General features: G+C 41.7%; 1 protein-coding gene and 1 long non-coding RNA gene across 3 annotated transcripts in view, besides 1 other annotated feature; one reads left to right on the top strand and one right to left on the bottom strand.

Moving 5' to 3' along the window:
• The window catches only part of RHOBTB2-AS1 (RHOBTB2 antisense RNA 1), a 46,187-nt gene extending 29,187 nt beyond the window's left edge, over positions 1 to 17,000 (top strand). The window contains exon 2 of the long non-coding RNA XR_007060857.1: positions 16,794 to 17,000. This is a non-coding gene — a long non-coding RNA (RHOBTB2 antisense RNA 1). The remainder of the gene's footprint in view (positions 1 to 16,793) is intronic.
• Positions 1 to 17,195, bottom strand: part of RHOBTB2 (Rho related BTB domain containing 2) — a 69,387-nt gene that overhangs the window by 49,581 nt on the left and 2,611 nt on the right. The window lies entirely within an intron of this gene.
• Positions 12,870 to 13,371: an enhancer, noted in NCBI's record as "NANOG hESC enhancer chr8:22814761-22815262 (GRCh37/hg19 assembly coordinates)". NCBI's record gives its function as "activates a minimal SCP1, AML or CMV promoter by ChIP-STARR-seq in naive H9 embryonic stem cells {active_cell/tissue: H9 hESC(naive)}" and the evidence as "EXISTENCE:reporter gene assay evidence [ECO:0000049][PMID:30033119]".

Raw genomic sequence — 17,195 nt, 5'->3', positions numbered from 1 at the left:
TTTTTTTTTTTTTTTAGGGACAGAGTCTTGCCCTGTGACCCAGGTTCTGAAATGCAGTGGCATGATTATACCTCACTGCAGCCTGGAACTCCTGAGCTCAAGCAATCCTCCTGCCTTAGTCTCCCAAGTAGCTGGGACCACAGGCATGCACAATGCCCAGCTTACATTATTTTTAATGGTGTATGCTATGGTCTGAACAAAATTCATATGTTGAAACATAATGGCCAATGTCATGGTATTAAGAGGTGGGGCCTTTAGGAGGTGATTAGGTCATGAGGGCTCCCCCCGGTGAATGGGTTCAAGGCCTTTCTAAAAGAGGCTTGGTGCCGTGTTCATTCCTCCTGTATTTCCACCTTCTGCCGCGTGAGGATGCAGCAACAAGGTGCCATCTTGGAGGTAAAGAGCAGCGCTCACCAGATGTGCAACCTGCTGGTGCCTTAATCTTGTGCTTTCCCGTCTCCAGAGCTCTGAGAAACTAAATTTCTTTTCTTTATAAATTATCCCACCTGTGTATTTTGTTATAGCAGGACAAATGGACTGAGACAGTGTGTTTCTAAATTATGGTGGTGCATTCTCCTGTATAAAATACTACAATTTGGCCAGGTACAGTAGGCTGACGTGGGCAGATCACTTAAGTCTAGGTGTTCAAGACCAGCCTGGGCAACATGTGGAAACCCCATCTCTACAAAAAATAGAAAAACTAGCTGGGCATAGTGACACATGCCTGTAGTCCCAGCTACTTGGGAGATTAAAGTGGGAGGATCACCTGAGCCCAAGGAGGTCAAGGTTGCAGTGACCCCGATCCTGCCACTGCACTCCAGCCTAGATGACGAGTGAGACCCTGTCTGAAAACACAGAAAACAAAACTATAATTTGTAAAATTCTAATTTCCTATTGTTAAACTGATATGGTTTTCAGATTATTACTATTATAAATAATATTGATTATACTTGGGCATTTCCTTAAGGTAAATTTCAGATAGAATATCTCGGTTAAATTATATAAACATTTTAAGGCTTTTGATAGGCATTATGTATCAAAATGTACCTGGCTTCGTTTTGCATTCTTTGAGTGCTAGTGCTTCATTTTGCATTGTTTTAGTCAAATTTTTATTTCTTCCCCTGTGATTATTTGTTCACGGTCTTTACACATTTTTCGAGTGGAAAGCTACTTTTGTTCTTATTGGTTTATAATGGCTTTCTTTATATATTATTAGTATTTTGTCATCTGTTGTCAATATTATTTCCCAGTGATATGGTTTGGCTGTGTCTCCACCCAAATCTCATCTTGAATTATAGCTCCCATAATTCCCACATGTTGTGGAAGGGACTCGGTGAGAGGTAATTGAATCATGCGGGGGTGGGGGGGTTACCCCATACTGTTCTTGTGGTAGTGAATAAGTCACACAAGAGCTGATGGTTTTATAAGGGGAAACCCCTTTTGCTTGGCTCTCATTCTCTCTCTTGCCTGCTGCCATTTAAGATGTGCCTTTCACCTTCCGCCATGATTGTGAGGCCTCCCCAGCCATGTGGAACTGTGAGTCCATTAAACCTCTTTTTCTTTATAAATCACCCAGTCTCGGGTATGTGTTTATCAGCAGTGTTAAAACAAATGAATACACCTAATTTGTTGCTTGACTTTTATACTGTTTTTTGACATTCAAGAATTCCAGATTTTTATCTTGTAAAAGATCCATTTTTTGTTTAGAGTGTCTTTTTTTTTTGCTTTTATTCTTAGAAAGGCCTTTCCCTCTCCAATATCATATAAATATTTTATATTATTCTTCTCATTATGTTATACTTTTCTCTTTGAACTATCTGATTTTTTTTATTAATAGTCAGTTGTCCCAGCGTCTTACTTCCCTAATTAAATCACACTCTTACCATATATTAAATATTTACTCATTCTTGGGTTTATTCCTAGACTTTCAATTTTGTTTCATTGAGCTATTTATTGTTGTAACATATCATACTGTTTTAATTATTGTAGCTTTACAGGAAAACTATTAATAAGGCATAATATTCTCCCCTCTACACTCCATTAACTTTCTTTTTCAAAAAATGTCTTGAATATTCTGCCACATTGACTCTTCCAAATGAAGTTTAGACTTATTTTGTAAAGTTGCACTAAAAACTCAAAATTTTGACTGGAATTACTTTTATGAATTCATAAGGAAAACTGATATTCTTGAAATATTAAATCTTCTCAACTAACTAGATATGTATCTCCATTTATTCGATATTTTTTTAAAAAGTTAAGATTTCTTTAATAAACTTTATTAAATTTAATCACTTTCTCCATATATATTTATGATTTAATATATACTTCATTTAATTTGTTAAGAAAAAACTCCCATTTTAGCTTAACTAAGATTTTTAAAATTGTTTTTTAATGTTTTAAAATTTTAATTGTGAAAAATATTCATAACATAAAACTTACCATTTTAACAATTTTTTTTTTTTTTGAGACAGGGTCTCACTCTGTCACCCAGGCTGAAGTACAGTGGTTTGATCATAGCTCACTGCAACTCAGCCTTCCAGGATCAAGCCATCCTCCCACCTCAGCCTCCTGAGTAACTAAGACTACAGGCGCGCACCACCTTGCTGGCTGTTTTTTGTGATTTTTGTAGAGATGGGGTTTTACCATGTTGCCCAGGCTGCTCTCGAACTCCTGGACTCAAGTGATTCTCCTGCCTCAGCCTCCCAAAGTGCTGGGATTACAGGTGTGAGCCATGGCACCCAGCCCCATTTTAACCATTTTTAAGTGGACAGTTCACTGACATTAAGTACTACACATTCGCATTGTTGTGCCACCATCCCCACCATCCATCTCCAGAACTTTTTTATCTTGTGAAACTACGACTCTATACTCCTTTAACAATAACTCTCCATTCTGCCCTCTCCACAGCCCCTAGCAACTACCATTCTACTTTCTGTGTCTATAAATTTGACTATTCTAAGTACCTCATATGAGTGAGATAGTATTTACCCTTTTTTTTTTTTTTTTTTTTTTTTTTAGACAGAGTTTTGCTATTGTCGCCCAGTCTGTAGTGCAGTGGCACGATCTCGGCTCTCTGCCTCCTGGGTTCAAGCGATTCTTCTGCCTCAGCCTCCCAAAGTAGCTGGGATTACAGGCGCCTGCCATCACGCCCAGCTAATTTTTCTGTATTTTTAGTAGAGACGGGGTTTCACCATGTTGGCCGGGATGGTCTTGAACTCCTGACCTCAGGTGATCCACCCGCCTCAGCCTCCCAAAGTGCTGGGATTACAGGCCTGAGCCACCATGCCCAGCCAGTATTTACCCTTTTATGACTGGCTTATTTCACTTAGCATAATAATGCCTTCAAGGCCCATTCATGTTGCAGCATGTCTGAATTTTCTTCCTTTTTAAGGCTGAATAATATTCCACTGTATGTGTATATGACATTTTATTTATCCATTCGTTCATTGAATGGATACATACATATGATGATGGTTGATGGACACTTGGGTTGCTTCAAGTTAATGAGATGATGCTACTACAAAGGTCTCTCTAAGACCCTGCTTTAAATTCTTTTGAATATATACCCAGAAGAGGAATTGCTAGATTTTATGGTAATTCTATTTTTTAATGTTTTGAGAAACTACCACACTGGTTTGCATAGCAGCTACACCATTTTCCATCCCCATCAGTAGTGCAGAGTATTTTAATGTCTCTACATCCTTGTAAACACTTGTTATTTTCTGGTATTAAAAATATATATAATGGACATCCTAGAGTGCTACATGGAATTTCTTTGCTCCACAGAGTATGGTCTGCGTACTTATTATGAGCTCCATTCAGATGTGTTTTTAATATTAGGGATAATATTAGGAAAAACAAGATTCTAAAGCTAATTACTATAGCTATAGGATATAGAGTGATATCTCATTGTAATTTTCATTTGCATTTCCTTAATGATTAATAATATTGAGCATTGTTGTTGATGTTCCCCCCACCACCCCGCTTTTTTTTTTCTTTTCATGGAGGTAAGGTTTTGCTGTGTTGCCTAGGCTAGTCTTGAATTCCTAGGCTCAGTCCTCCGACCCTGGCTTCCCAAAGTGCTGGGATTACGGGCATGAGCCACCACACCCGGCCTGATGTTGAGCATCTTTTCACATACTTATTGGCCATTTGTATGTCTTTGGAAAAATGTCTATTCAAGTCCTTCACCCGTTTTTTGCTTGGGTTGTTTGTTTTTTTGTTGTTGGGTCTCATAAGTTTTCTTTTTTTCTTTTCTTTTTTTTTGAGACAAAGTCTTACTCTGTTGCTCAGGCTGGAGTGCAGTGGTGCCATCTCAGCTTACTGCAACTTCCACCTCCTGAGTTCAAGCAATTCTCTTGCCTCAGCCTCCCAAGTAGCTGGGACTACAGGCGCAGGCCACCACATCTGGCTAATTTTTGTGTTTTCTTAGTAGAGATAGGGTTTCCCTACTTTGACCAGGCTGGTCTTGAACTCCTGACCTCAAGTGATCTGCCCACCTCGGCCTCCCAAAGTGCTGGGATTACAGGCATGAGCCACCGCACCCAGCTGAGTTTTATAAATTTTCTATATATTCTGAGTATTAATCCATTATTAGGGATGTGATTTACACATATTTTCTCCCATTCTGTGAGTTGCCTTTTTACTCTGTTGACAGTGTTCTTTGATGTGCAGAAGTTTCTAATTTTCATGGAGTCCAGTTTGTTTATTTTATTGTTGTCTGTCTTTTTTATGTCATATTCAATAAATCATTGCCAAATCCAGTGCCATAAAGCTTTGCCTCTATGTTTTCTTCTAAGAGCTTTATAGTTCTAGCTCTTACAATTAGACCTTTAATCCATTTTGAGTTAATTTTACATATGGTAAAAGGCAAAAATTTCATCCTTTTTAATGTAGATATCCAGTTTTTCTAGTACCGTTTGTTGAAAAGACTATCCTTCCCTCATTGGCTGGTCTTGGCAACCTTGTCAAAAATCCTTTGACCATATATGCAAGGGTTTATTTCTGGGCTTCTTCTCTATTCCACTGGTTGATGTTCTGTCTTTATGTCAGTGACACACTGTTTTGATTACTGTAGCTTTTTAGTAATTTTAGACATCAGGAAGTATGAGTCTTCTAACTTTATTGTGCTTTTTCAAGATTGTTGTGGCTATTCGGGGGTCCCCTGAGATTCTATATGAATTTTACAATTTTTTTTCTATTTCTGCAAAAAAGCATAATTGGGATTTTGATAGGGATTGCATTAAATCATTAAATTTATTTGGTAGTATTGACATCTTAGCAACATTAAGGCTTCCAATCTATGAACAAAAGATGTCTTTCCACTTAGATTTTCTTTTTGAGTCAGATAGCTTAATTGTATTACAATTATTTTTAAAGTCAGCTATGAGGTTGACAAATATTTGGGTTAGTCTATAGCAAGTCTCTAATTTCCAAGATACAAAAGACAATAAATATGGATTCAAATTCAGCCTAGAAATGAGATTCTAAAGCTAATTACTACGCCAGATGTGGTGGCTCACACTTGTAATCCAAACACTTTGGAAGGCTGAGGTGAGCAGATTATCTGATGTCAGGAATTCGAGACCAGCCTGGCCAACATGGTGAAACCCCATCTCTACTAAAAATACAAAAATTAGCCTGGCGTGGTGGTGGGCGCCTGTAATCCCAGCTACTCGGGAAGCTGAGGCAGGAGAATCACTTGAACCCAGGAGGTGGAGGTTGCAGTGAGTTGAGACCGCACCATTGCACTCCAGCCTGGGTGACAGAGCAAGACTCCATCTCAATAAATAAATAAATAAATAAATAAATAAATAAATAAATAAATAAATAAAATAAAGCTAATTACTAGCCGTGTAGCTTAGTTTGGGTATTTCAAATACATGTATAATTCTTAAGATGCTACAAGAACTCATATAATAAAGATATTGCTCACTGACAACAAACTACCAGATCTTCACTGACCATACACGATTGTATGGTGTCTTGGAGCCTTCATGTGAGTCCCCTGAGGGTTCACTGGTGCTGGGGGACAATCAGAGATGGCATCATGATGGCACTGGTCCTTTCTAGCAGGAGGACTGGTATAGGAGCAGGTGCTGAAAATGCCTACTGAGCAGGACAGAAATCTGATTTCCCAATAGCACAATAAATGGTCTTATTTTTTTGCAGAAAACAAGATTGTCGCTGTATATTTTTCTGATTGCTACATGGAACACCTTTGCCCCACAGAACATGGTCTGCTTACTTATGAGCTCCATTCAGATGTGTTTTTAATATTAGGAATGAATGTTGGAATGCTTTTATTTTCATAAGAAAGGTGATATGGTTTGGCTATGTCCCCACCCAAATCTCATCTTGAATTGTAACTCCCACAATTCCCACGTGTTGTGGGAGGAACCTGGTGGGAAGTGACTGAATTATGGTGGCGGGTCTTTCCTGTGCGGTTCTTGCAATAATAAATGAGTCTCATGAGATCTGATGGTAAAAACAAACAAACAAAAAAACAAAACAAAAAACAAAAACAAAAAAAACAGGAGGCTGGGCATGGTGACTCACGCTTGTAATCCCAGCACTTTGGGAGGCCAAGGTGGGTGGATCACCTGAGGTCGGCAGTCTGAGACCAGCCTGACCAACATGGAGAAACCCCATCTCTACTAAAAATACAAAATTAGCTGGGCATGGTGGCGCATGCCTGTAATCCCAGCTACTCGGGAGGCTGAGGCAGGAGAATTGCTTGAAACTGGGGGATGGTGGTTGTGGTGAGCCAAGATCACATCATTGCACTCCAGCCTGGGCAACAAGAGCAAAACTCTGTCTTAAAATAATAATAATAATAATATAAATAAATAAATAAAATAAGAGTGTCCCTGCACAACCTCTCTCATTTTTTGCCTGCCACCATCCATGTAAGATGTGACTTTGGCTCCTCCTTGCCTTCCGCCATGATTGTGAGGCTTCCCCAGCTATGTGAACTGTAAGCCCAATTAAACCTCTTTCTTTTGTAAATTGCTCAGTCTTGGGTATGTCTTTATCAGCGGCGTGAGAATGGACTAAAACAGTTGGTAATTACTCTTTTTTTTTTTCACTTTGTTAAGTTGTGGTATTACACTTGCGCTAGCTTTGTAAATTGTATTGGGAAACTTCCTGTGCTTTTCTCTAATGTGAAATTATATTTTATAGCAAGGGAAATATCTTTACCTATTTCATCTTTATAGCAGGTATGAATTTTACACAGGCTCAGAGATAAAAATATGTGTCTTCATTTCTCTGTAACAGATACTTAGTTCAGGACAGCCCACTTCTGCTGATGAGAGAAAACTTACTTTTATAAATCTTAGCTGCTTTTGTATTGATGTGTATCAATTCAGAGTATAAACTTAAGTCAGTTGTCTCCCTTTCCCCTCTTCTTTCCCATGGTGATCTTAATTCCAAGAGGCTTTCTCATCTTTCTAGCATGGGGTGGGTTATCTTGTCCTGGCATCATGTCCTTTGGCTCCTGCTGCCATATGCTGGTGCTGAAGCAGATGTGCCCAGCCCTGCTATATAGTCTCTAGTGGGCAATGGGCCCAGGAGCACTGCATACCTTTGTCCTGATAACAGGACCCTTCGAATCTGTCCACCTCCCTATTCAGCACTTCTGTGGCCACTAGTGCTTGGCTGCTTTCCCTTACCTGCCCATGGGTGCATGTGAGCAAATGAGGCTTCCATCCACCCAGGTGGTCCACTCAAGTATTTTGCTTTTACCACTCTTGTTCTTTGTCCTCCGAGGCTTGCTGGGCTACAGAAACCAGCCTATGGCTCTGCTCTGGGATGCACTAAATGATCTGGGTTTCTCTCATCCTGCTCTTCAGTGTCCAGCAGGAGACAGTCAGGTTGCTGAGCACTCTCAGAGACTCTCTGTCTGATGTCTCTCTACGTCACCAAAACTATCCTTTTATTATATGATCATACACTCTATGTTGTTCTCAGTGGCTTCATCTATAGCCTTTAATTGTAAAGTCAAGTTTTTTAGAATACAAAATAAAATAAAAATGGCTTCTTTCTCACATATCTGACTCTTGAAAATCAAGTGTTTTTGGCATTCAGGCTTTCTCCCATAAAGTAAAACCTGCTTTGAAACTCAAAGTTTAGCAACATCTTCTTGTTCTTGGAACTGCCATATCCTCAAAGCGGTGAATGCCTTTGAGTTAAGAACAATGAGCTGCCAGGCAACTAAGAGAAAGTAAGAGTTATTTTAATGAAAAGTACGTCAGTTAATGTAAAATAAAATATCCCATATTTGAAATAATTTTCTCGTAAAATCACCTGGGCCTAGTATACATCCAGAAGATAATTCTTTGATAGGCTTTTTTTTTTTTTTCATTTTAATTTATCTCTTTGTGGGTTACTTTCTCTTTCTTTCCTTTTTTTTTTTTTTTTTTTTTTTTTTTTTTTTTTGTAAATTCGTTATTGTTTTTAGAGACAGCCTTACTCTGTGGCCCAGACTGGAGTGCAGTGGCACCATCATAGCTCACTGCAGCCTCCAACTCCTGGACTCAAGTGATCCTCTCACCTTGGCCTCCTGAGTAGTTGGGAGTACAGTCACCAGCAACTGCACCTGGCTTTTCCGTAAATTTGGAAAACTTATATATTCTGAGAAACTATCAGATGTATCTATTTTTTTTCAAATGTATCAGCATAGTATTATGCAATTTATTCACAATTTTTAAAATGCCTTTTTATCTATGATTGTATACCTTTCCTTACATTGTTGGTCATTTCCCTCTTTCACTTGCATTTGTCAGGGTTCAGTTGCAGAAAAAGAGTCCCCATAACTGCTGTAAGCAGAAAGGAAATCACGTCAGTGCAGTAAATAACTTACAGAATTTTTGGGAAGACTGAAGAGATAGATGCAAAGCTGAGCTCTCAAAGACAACCTCAGAGCCACTGTGGACACACAGGGAGTCCTTGTGTGTTCATTTTTCCCCTCCCCACCCACCTTTTAGCTCTTTGTGAATATCGTTTCAGTGATGTCTGGCATCAATGATGTACCTTACGAGGTAGGACAAAAACAAAGACCAATGAGTTATTAAAAATAAAAACTTTAAGCAAATTAAATTTAGCAGAGTTTAACTGAGCAAAGAAGGGCTCGAGAGTCAGGCAGCCCTCAGAGCCAGCAGAGGTTCAGAGAACTCCATTCCACAAGGCAGGCAGGCAGGCAGGCAGCATTTATAGAAGGAAAATAGAAGAGAGGGACAGAAACAGCTTGATCAGTTACAGCTCCAGGTTTGCCTCATTTGAACATGGTCTGATTAGTTGGCTGCTTGTGATTGACTGGAGCTCAGAGGCTGTGAATGGTTGAGACTGGGAGATTTGTTACAAAAGTATATCCCTGTGTTAGGGTTTCAGTTAGTTTACTACTAAGGTAGATTGCAGGGCCTGACTTAATGGCTCGCTCCCATAATCTTATTATGTTGGGAGGCTGAGGCAGGAGACTTGCTTGAGGCCAGGAGTTCAAGACTAGCCTGGGCAATATAGGGAGACACCCTTCTCTACAAAAAACTAATTTAAAAAAGTTAGGTTGCAGTTCCTTCAGTAAGGACTCAGGTACAGAAGCATTCTTAGGCCAAATTTAGGTTAATTTAACAGAATCTACAGTCTCCATGGTTACAAGCAGGCTAACAAGTAGGGGATCAGGGCTAGAAATAACTTTTCAGGTTTGAAGCTGATAACCTACAGGTCACATTTGGCAGGCTTCCCAATGAACTGCCCAGGGAAGGTCTTACAATTCATGGCTTACATTCTGTCCCTGAGTAAAGAAAGTGATTGTGAGTCCCAGAAATTTTATCGTGAGTTCCTTAAGACATACTAATTCATGTGTAACTTGCTGACACTAAAAATGACACTGATTTGTTTTGGAATCACAAAGTTTTATTGATTGTCTTGCACGTAGAACATTTTAGCTGTGCACTGTGATCTGTAGCCAAAGATTGTACCCTCCAATGAAAAAGGACAACTCAGGGGCCGGGTGCAGCGCATGCCTATAATCCCAGCACTTTGGGAGGCTGAGGTGAGTGGATCATTTGAGGTCAGGAGTTTGAGACCAGCCTGGCCAACATGGTGAAACCCCACCTCTACTAAAAATACAAAAATTAGCCGGGCGTGGTGGTGCATGCCTGTAATCCCAGCTACTCAGGAGGCTGAGGCAGGAGAATCGCTTGAACCCAGGAGGTGGAGGTTGCAGTGAGCCGAGATGGCACCACTGCACTCCAGCCTGGGCAACAGAGCAAGACTCTGTCAGGAAAGGAGAGGAGAGGGGAGGGGAGGGGAGGGGAGGGCTCATCTATAAGGGGTTCCTCTTCCTTCTTCTAAACTTTCTTATAAAAGCATTTTATAAAAGCATTTCAACTTGTTTTTTGTTGGTTTGTTTGTTCTTGTTTTTTTGTTTTTTTTTTTAGATGGAGTCTCACTCTGTCGCCCAGGCTAGAGTACAGTGCCGTGATCTCAGCTCACTGCAACCTCCACTTCCTGGGTTCAGGCGATTCTCCTGCCTCAGCTTCCCAAGTAGCTGGGATTACAGATGCGCTCCACAACACCTGGCTAGGTTTTTTTTGTATTTTTTTTTTTTTTTTTTTTAGTAGAGATGGGGCTTCACCATGTTGGTCAGGCTGGTCTGGAACTCCTGACCTCAAGTGATCTGCCCGCCTCAGCCTCTCAATGTGCTGGGATTATAAACATAAGCCACCACACCCGGCCAACATTTCAACTTGTAACAAACTCTAGAATATGTCCAAATCTGTTGGTGTATCTTCCCTGGTCAGTCCTCACATCTGGCATCCAATAAACCTTTATCAAACTACTTCTGCCTGAACAGCCTTAATTTTGATTGACAAGGTAACCACAGGGGGTAGAGCAGAGCTGGGATGGACCATGAGATTTTGGTGGTCAAAGTGCCTAAAACCCAAAAAGTATGCGGATAACTAGGAGCTGATAACAGGAAGCAGATACCAGACTGAACCTGATCTTGAGATAGAATTATTTCTTCCTGGGAGAGCTGTAATTGAATTCAGCCCTAGAAAGAGTAGGCCAGGCATGGTGACTCATGCCTGTAATCCCAGCACCTTGGGAGGTTGAGGTGGACAGATAAGTTGAGGTCAGGAGTTGGAGACCAGCCTGACCAACATGGCAAAACCCCGTCTCTACTAAAACAAACAAAAAACAAAACTAGCTGAGCATGGTGGCATGCACCTGTAATCCCAGCTACTCGGGAGCCCGAGGCAGGAGAATAGCATGAACCTGGGAGGCAGAGGTTGCAGTAAGCCGAGATCGCACCACTGCACTCCAGCCTGGGCCATAGAGTGAGACTCAGTCTCAAAAACAAACAAACAAACAAAAAAAGAAAAATGAAAGATTAAAAATGGGACCCCAGGATGTGGCTGGATGGGTCTGTGGCTGGGGTAGTGCGGCGAAGGGAGAATGCTATGGCAGGCTACACACAGGGCAAAGACCAAGGAGGCATTGGTTGATGCCTCTGATACATCCCCTAAGGGGGTTAAGGAGAGTGAACAATGGATTTTCAAACCTGGAAGACTAGCAGAGTCCCAATCATCTTCATACAAAAACTTGAGGACTACTGGACTAGCCTGGAGCCTTAGACTTTCCAGGCCACACACATGTTTACCATACACAGTGGCCCCAATTGTGGCCAGAGAGTGTGGCCACTGTGTTTGTGTGATGCTGGCTTACCCCATTCTGGGTCCCATTCAGATGTGTACCCATAGCCTCAGAGCATACTTCAGATGTTCAACCTCTTTTTTTTTTTTTTTTTTTTTTTTCAGAGAGGGGCTCACTCTTGTCACCCAGGCTGGAGTGCAGTGGTGCAAATACAGCTCACTGCAGCCTCCACCTCCTGGCATCAAGCAATCCTCCCCACCTCAGCCTCCCATGTAGCCGGAACCACAGGTGTGCACCACCAGGCCCAGCTAATTTTTTTGATTTTTTTGTAGAGACAGGGTCTCACTATGTTGCTTAGGCTAGTCTTGAACTCCTGGGCTCAAGAAATCCTGCTGCCTCAACTTCCCAAAGTGCTGTGATTACAGGCATGAGCCACTGCACCTGGCCTGTTTAGCTTCTTGAGTAACTAATTTCATATGTGTCTTTCCCATGCTGGAGAGTCCAGCTTTTTTGCCTTGATATTTAAAACAAGTTCCTTCAAGTTTCAAGCTCTCCTTACCCCACACTATGCCCCAGTTTGCCAGCATTTAAAGAAACAAACAAAAGTTCATGTTGACCCTGTTATACCCCCTCCAGTCTTCACTTTTCCAGGTTGCAGAAGACTAACTTATGTAGCTCATCTTCATTTGAAATTTCTTCCCAGCTCCTTGTCAAGCAGGCTGTCTTGTTTCGAGGCATTTGGAGCATTCCCACATCTTTGGAGAGGGGAGGGCACCCACCTGTGCCAGGCCAGGTCTCCCTAACTGCTGAACAGACAGGCCTCCATCACAACTGTTTCAGCACTGACTGAGTGGTAAAGTTAAATATTGAAAGCCAAAAGAGCCAGTGCACGTCTACAAAGACTGGGATGTAACAAAAGCCCACCAACAGCTTTGCCTAGGCCTTTCCTGGGCCTTAAGGCAAGACAAGATAATGAAGAAATACTTCACAGGACCCGTTTAGGATTAAACACATTTATTGGGGGTCTGAAGAAACTCCCCAAACCTCCATGGCTTAGCAGGAGACAAGATAAGGGTAATCACCCCAGCACCTGGACCCATTTTGATTACACAAATTTACTGAGGCTCCAGAGGAAGGTCTTTAGGACTCAGATCTTAGTTATAGATTAAAAAAAAGTTAATCACTTATGTCTGTAAATGAACGTACTCTTACACATAGACATATAGCTTAGAAGGTATATAAGCTTTGGAAAACTTTGTAATTTTGAGTTGGCCTGGCGATATTTTGCAAACCTTCCCCCTGTGCCCTGTTACAGAAATGAACTCCGTCCTTTCCTAGTTCATCTGCATCTCGTTATTGGGCCACAAGAACAAGCAGCCCAACCCTCAGTTTGGTCCAGGAACACACATGCTGCCCCAGGTGGGAACAGCGTGGCTTCTTTGTGCCTGTGGGCAGGGGACAAAAGGGGCAGCAAGTGCCCTTTGTCAGCTGAGTAGCCAAGAAGGGCTGGCTGTCGGGGATAATCAGGCTTATGAAGCCCAAATCAGGGATGTGTTTGAAAAACAGCCCAAAGCAAAACTTAAGCAGAAAGAGGATATTTGCATAATCTCAGAGTATTTCCTCTCAAATATTTAGTGATCACAAAAGAGCAAAATAGTGAGCTTACAGTGGAAGATCCTGGAAGACACCACCTTAACCAAGCAGTGAAGATCAGCCTCACCAGGAATACACATCGGCATCCCACACCCCTGATCTGAAGCACCGAGAAGAGCTCATCATCTCTGTGGCATCCTCTGCAATAATATATCACCTCAACCTAATTGTGAGGAAGAGTTCTGCAAGGTATCTAGCCAGTACCCTTCAAAATGTCAAGGTCATGAAAGACAAGGAAAGACTGAAGAACAGACTAGGGCTAACTAAGGATGTGTAACATTGACTACAGTGTGGATCTAGGATTGGAAGCTGTATTAATTCTTTCTCACACTGCTATAAAGAAATACCTGAGGCTGGGCACCGTAGCTCATGCCTGTAATTCCAGCACTTTGGGAGGCCGAGGCGGGTGGATCACCTAAAGTCAGGAATTCAAGACCAGCCTGACCAACACGGAGATACCCCGTCTCTACTAAAAATATAAAATTAGCCGGGCATGGTGGTGCATGCCTATAATCCAGCTACTTGTGAGGCTGAGGCGGGAGAGTTGCCTGAATCCGGGAGGCGGAGGTTGCAGTGAGTCAAGATTGCGCCATTGCACTCCAGCTTGGGCAACAAGAGCAAAACCCTGTCTCAAAAACAAACAAACAAACAAACAAAACCTGGAGATTGAGTAATTTAGAAAGGTTTAATTGAAGTTTAGTTGGCTCATGATTCCACAGGCTGTACAGGAAGCATGATGCTGGCATCTGCTTGGCTTCTGGGGAGGCCTCTGGAGACTTACAATCATGGCAGAAGGCAAAGGGGGAGTGAGCACTTCACATGGCTGGACCAGGAGGAGGAGGGGGAGGGGCTACACACTTTTAAACAACCAGGTCTCATGAGAACTCACTATCATGAGAACAGCACTGAGGTGATGGTGCTAAACCTCTCATAAGAAACTGGTCCCATGATCCAATTACCTCCCACCAGGCCCCACCTCCAACAATGGGGATTACATTTCAACATGAGATTTGGGTGGGGACATAATCCAAAGCATATCAGAACCTGAAACAGAAAAAGACAATAACGGGAAAACTTGTGAGCACTGAATAAATTCTGTGGCTAATGTCCTAGCTTTGGTAACTGTTCTACAGTTATGCAAGACATTAGTTATTATTGGGTGAAGCTGGGTGTAAGGTATATTGAAAATTCTCTGTACTGTTTGTGTAACTTCTCTGAAAGTATGGAATCAATTGGAAAAAATACACCCCATGAACTCACAGGGGTGGGTTGAGGGGCAAACCAAAGGTGAGCATAGGTAGGGTCCCAGAGCCCTTCCTTAGTGCCCGTCTCCATTTGGGATTTAACTTCTTCATCTGCCTTTGGGGGGAAGCTCCAGGAGGTGGCATCCTTCCATATCCTCTATACCCAGCGCAGAGTGGGCACTAAAGATTTGTTGAGTGTCTGGGTACAGTGGCTCATGCCTGTAATCCCAGCACTTTAGGAGGCCAAGGTAGGAGGACTGATTGAACCCAGGAGTTTGAGATCAGCTTGGCCAACATAATGAGACCGCATCTCTACAAATAATTTATAAATTAGTTGGTCATGGTGGTGCACACCTGTAGTCCCAGCTATTTGGGAAGCTGAGGTGGGAGGATCCTTTGAGCCTAGGAGGTCAAGGGTGCAATGAGCCATGATCATGCCACTGTACTCCAGCCTGGGTGACAGAGAGAGACCTTGTCTCAAAAAAAAAAAAAAAAAAAAAAAGATTTATTGAATGAATTGATGGATGGATGAGATCCTGGTTTCCACAATGGAAGCAGAATTGACCTCCACAGTGAGAATCTTCAAAGCAACTGCAATTGTTAAAGTCTGTACATTGGTCTAGAGTCCTGGAGGACATGGAGCCAGAGTGGGGATAAACTTGGCATTCGGTAAACCTCGGGGGCCACAGTTGTCCCAGTAGGTTCCTTTTAATGGTTTGGGATGCAAGTGCTCTTCCGAAAGGCGGTGCAGGGGCTACTGCAGTGCGGAGTCATTTGCACTCACAGTCTCTTCCTAGAGCTTCCCCGCTTTTGCTGGGTTGTTGATTTTTTTCTGATTTGATTTGCAGGAGCTCTTTATACATTCTGGGAAAGTGGATCCTTTACTGGCCATAGGCAATGCAATAGTTTTTATCTGGGGTATCTTTTCTTTTTTTTGAGACAGAGTCTCACTCTGTCACCCAGGCTGGAGTGCAGTGGTGCAATCTCGGCTTATTGCAACCTCTGCCTCCCTGGTTCAAGCAATTCTCGTGCCTCAGCCCCCCAAGTAGCTGGGACTACAGGCGTGCTCCACCATGCCCAGCTAATTTTTGTATTTTTAGTAAGACTGGGTTTCACCATGTTGGCTAGGCTGGTCTCAAACTCCTGACCTCAAGTGATCTGCCCACCTCGGCCTCCCAAAGTGTTGGGATTACAGGCGTGAGCCACCGCACCCAGCCATCTGGGGCATCTTGACGAAAGAAAAGGTTTTTGTTTTAGATATAGTCAAATCTATGGTTTCCTTGGTACAGTTTGTGGTTTTTTTTCTGTCATATTTCCTTCCCTACCTTAAGGTACTAAAGATATTCTCCTGCATATTATTCTAAAGATTTAAAAGTTTCCATTTTAATATTTCATTTTTTAATCCACCTGAAATTTGTTCTGTTTAAAGTATGGCATCACAACATGATTTTATTTTTTCACAGTGAATCCAATTGTCTCAACACTATTTGTTGGATAGTGTGTCCTTTTCCCTATTCACTTGAAATGTCACCACTGCCAAGGAAGCTTGTAATAAACAAAAAAGATTATTAAGTGTCTGCAATAGAAAACGATACATAGCTTAGAGCTCATTCTTCCAGGTTCTCTGATTCATTGAATTAAGCTATTTTACAACTTTATACATTGTAGATAACTAGCAGCCAATAGAGTGATTTTTGTCTATACATACGTTAAAAAACAAAAACAGAAACAAAAACAAAACAAAACAAAACAAAAAAAACCTGTCTGGTGGAGCTTCAACTGACATTCCCTTTCCTGCTGTGGAAGAAGCCAGTTAGTTTTGCTGCCATTTTCATGTTCATGTCAATATCTCTGATCTATCAATGTGTCCATTCCTTGGATTGCCCTTGTAAGATCTTACCAGTTCCCTCATTAATGGTGAGTTAAATAAAAAATCTACCATGTGTTCATTTTATGTCTGTGTGAGAGTGATGATTTTACCCTTTTTGAAACCACCCTTTAACAGTCACATATCGATGGCATATAGCTTGAAGCAAACACAAAGGGATCAATTAGATAGCGATTATTCACTTATATAAGCTCTTCCTACATGACAATAGGATACGATTTACAAGTGTTTAGACCATTTTATCAGCAGCCAAGCCCTGAGTACAAAGGCAGCCTTGTACATCTGGCAGTGCTCTGACAGGCCAGGAAAACAAACCAACCATTCACATTCTTCTATGTATCATCATATTACAGGAAGCTTTTCAACATCGTGAGGATTGCATAATCAACTCTGAACATCTGGAATAGGAGCCTGACTGAACAGAGCAGAAGTGAACTTTCCCGGAGCTCCCATACTCCATCCACTCAACTCAACAAATGTTGACTTAGTGCCTATGATGTACAGCACTCAGTGCTAAAATGCAGTAGGGAAATAAATAAGTCTCTTTGGTCTGATTGAAATTAATTTCCTCATTTCTAAAGGAGGAACTAACCACATGGGCCCTACACTGAGAGATATGTTATGGGTTACCATTGCAACGAAAATGCAGGTTCAGTCACTCATCGCTTGCAGAATGCAATGAACAAGAGCAAGGTCTGATATTGTCAGGCAGATATGAGCAGGGCAGGAGAGGGTCCCTCCCACCCCAACCCCAC

Source organism: Homo sapiens, chromosome 8 (genome assembly GCF_000001405.40).
Source record: "Homo sapiens chromosome 8, GRCh38.p14 Primary Assembly".
In the NCBI taxonomy this organism is placed as follows: Eukaryota; Metazoa; Chordata; class Mammalia; order Primates; family Hominidae; genus Homo; species Homo sapiens.
The sequence above is the reverse complement of the archived record's forward strand: the minus strand, read 5'-3'. Positions and strand labels throughout refer to the sequence as shown.